The sequence below is a fragment of the Homo sapiens genome, chromosome 18 (assembly GCF_000001405.40).
Source record: "Homo sapiens chromosome 18, GRCh38.p14 Primary Assembly".
In the NCBI taxonomy this organism is placed as follows: domain Eukaryota; kingdom Metazoa; phylum Chordata; class Mammalia; order Primates; family Hominidae; genus Homo; species Homo sapiens.
In genome coordinates, this window is record NC_000018.10 from 74,011,111 (window position 1) to 74,012,950 (window position 1,840).

The following is a 1,840-nucleotide window of genomic DNA, read 5'->3' on the forward strand; positions in this document are numbered from 1 at the left end:
GCATTTGTTGTTAAGTTTGATGGTATATTGGCATCCACTTTAGGAATAGAGCTGCCAAGCTGTGGGGGGCAATTAGGTCATCTTTTCCCAGGACAGTTCTAGACCTTCATGGTGCCCTTCTTGCAAGTGGTCTTATTCCAGGTCCCAGCTTTAGGTAGAAAGTGCAAACTGCTTGTGGCAGGACTGAGCCTGCAGAGCACCGCATTCCCCCAGGGGAGGTTCTGTGGACAAGGAGTTGGAAGCTCACCAGTGTCGCTCCTTTCTCCTCTGCCAAGAAGGCAGCTCCCTCATCTCTGGGGCTCATGAAGGGAGGCATGGCCTTCTGCTGTCTCTGCTGATGGAGAATGGGGTCTTGCCACCACCAGAAGCCTCCCTGAGGTTATTGTCTCATATCCTCAGCGCCGTCTGGATCCGGGAGTCCAGGACCACCCATAACCTGATGCCACTCTCCACTGGAGCCCAGGAGACCTCAGGATGGAGAAGCAGGTCCAAGTGACCCCGGCCACCCTGTCTCTCAGCCCTCACAAGAAGAATGCCCCAAACTGTGCTGGGAGAGGCAGACCTTGTCCCTGAGGATAAAGGTAATTTCAAAGGCAAAGTACAATGAGAAGCGACACTTGGCCCTCATAAGAAAGGGACACTTATTTAGGGACACAGACACACACTACCAAGATGGCTCACCTGCTCTTGGAGACCTCTGTTACCTAGTTGTTAAGCCCAAGAACTTCAGTTCTCCACTGAGGAAACTCAACCCATTTCCTTGGGAAGGTCCCAATCCAGGGACCCCTCCCTCTGGACACTGAGGGTATCGCATCACTTGATGCCCGCAGCTGTCAGTCTCAGTGCCCTGCAGGGGTGGGGCAGAGCGAGGGGACAGGAGAGGGATGGATGGATGGGTTTCTATCCTGGGGGAATCTCCAAATGCTGATCCTTCATGGAACTTTCCTTTTCTGTATTTTCACGGATGAACAGTTTCCACAGACCCTTTATGAGTTAACTCCTAAGGTCAGCATGTCTCCTTCAGAGACAGCAAACCCCACACTCGCAATGAGAGAAAAGTATTTTCCTAGTTCGCGGGGTACAGGTTGTGCCCCTAGTGTCAAGGGACCCCCACTGCTGTGCTGAGTCCTGAAGTATCACCAAAGAGCTCGACTCACACACCTGATACTGAGTGGCGGCTCGGTTACCTGGAGAAGGACCGCGGCTTAGATTAGGTGCTTGCTATGGCATGAACCCTCTGAGCAGAGGCCTGGGCCTGGGCCTGGGGAGACAGCAGAGCGCCCTTTCTTCCGGCCTCATCGACAGCATTTGTGGCACAGGCTTGAGAACGAATAGACATCTAAGAAAGACTTCGGTTGCTAAGTGATCAATTACAGCTCTAGGGGAAACTGGAAGACAGAGCTGGACTTGGGGCTCAGATACCTTGAGTGTCACGCAGGACTTCTGCCATTCAGTGACCTTCAGTTGCCTCTTGTGTCCCAAGACTGCTGTGAGGATAAATGAGATGTTTGCGGGATCTGAAAGTGTTGACACAGGGCGGTGCACAGCAAATGATGGTCTCTCTTCTTGTTTTCTATTCGGCTTTACAATCGGGTTAACAATAAGGAGAACACGGTATTCTAAAGTTGCACAATCATTCCAAAAGCAAGTTGTTGTGAAATCTTCAAAAAGAACAAAGGGGCCGGAAGTGGTGGCTCATGCCTGTAATCCCAGCTGCTCGGGAGACTGAGGCAAGAGAATCGCTTGAACCCAGGAGGCTGAGGTTGCTGTGAGCCGAGATCGCGCCACTGCACTCCAGCCTGGGCCACAAGAGTGAAACTCCGTCTTAAAAAAAAATAAA

The 1,840-nt window shown here is 51.8% G+C and overlaps 1 annotated feature.

Moving 5' to 3' along the window:
* Positions 1,138-1,307: an enhancer, noted in NCBI's record as "experimental_50059 CRE fragment used in MPRA reporter constructs". NCBI's record gives its function as "activates a minimal promoter by MPRAs in K562 erythroleukemia cells, with activity observed for both the introgressed and non-introgressed 18:71679568 variant alleles {active_cell/tissue: K562}" and the evidence as "EXISTENCE:reporter gene assay evidence [ECO:0000049][PMID:34662402]".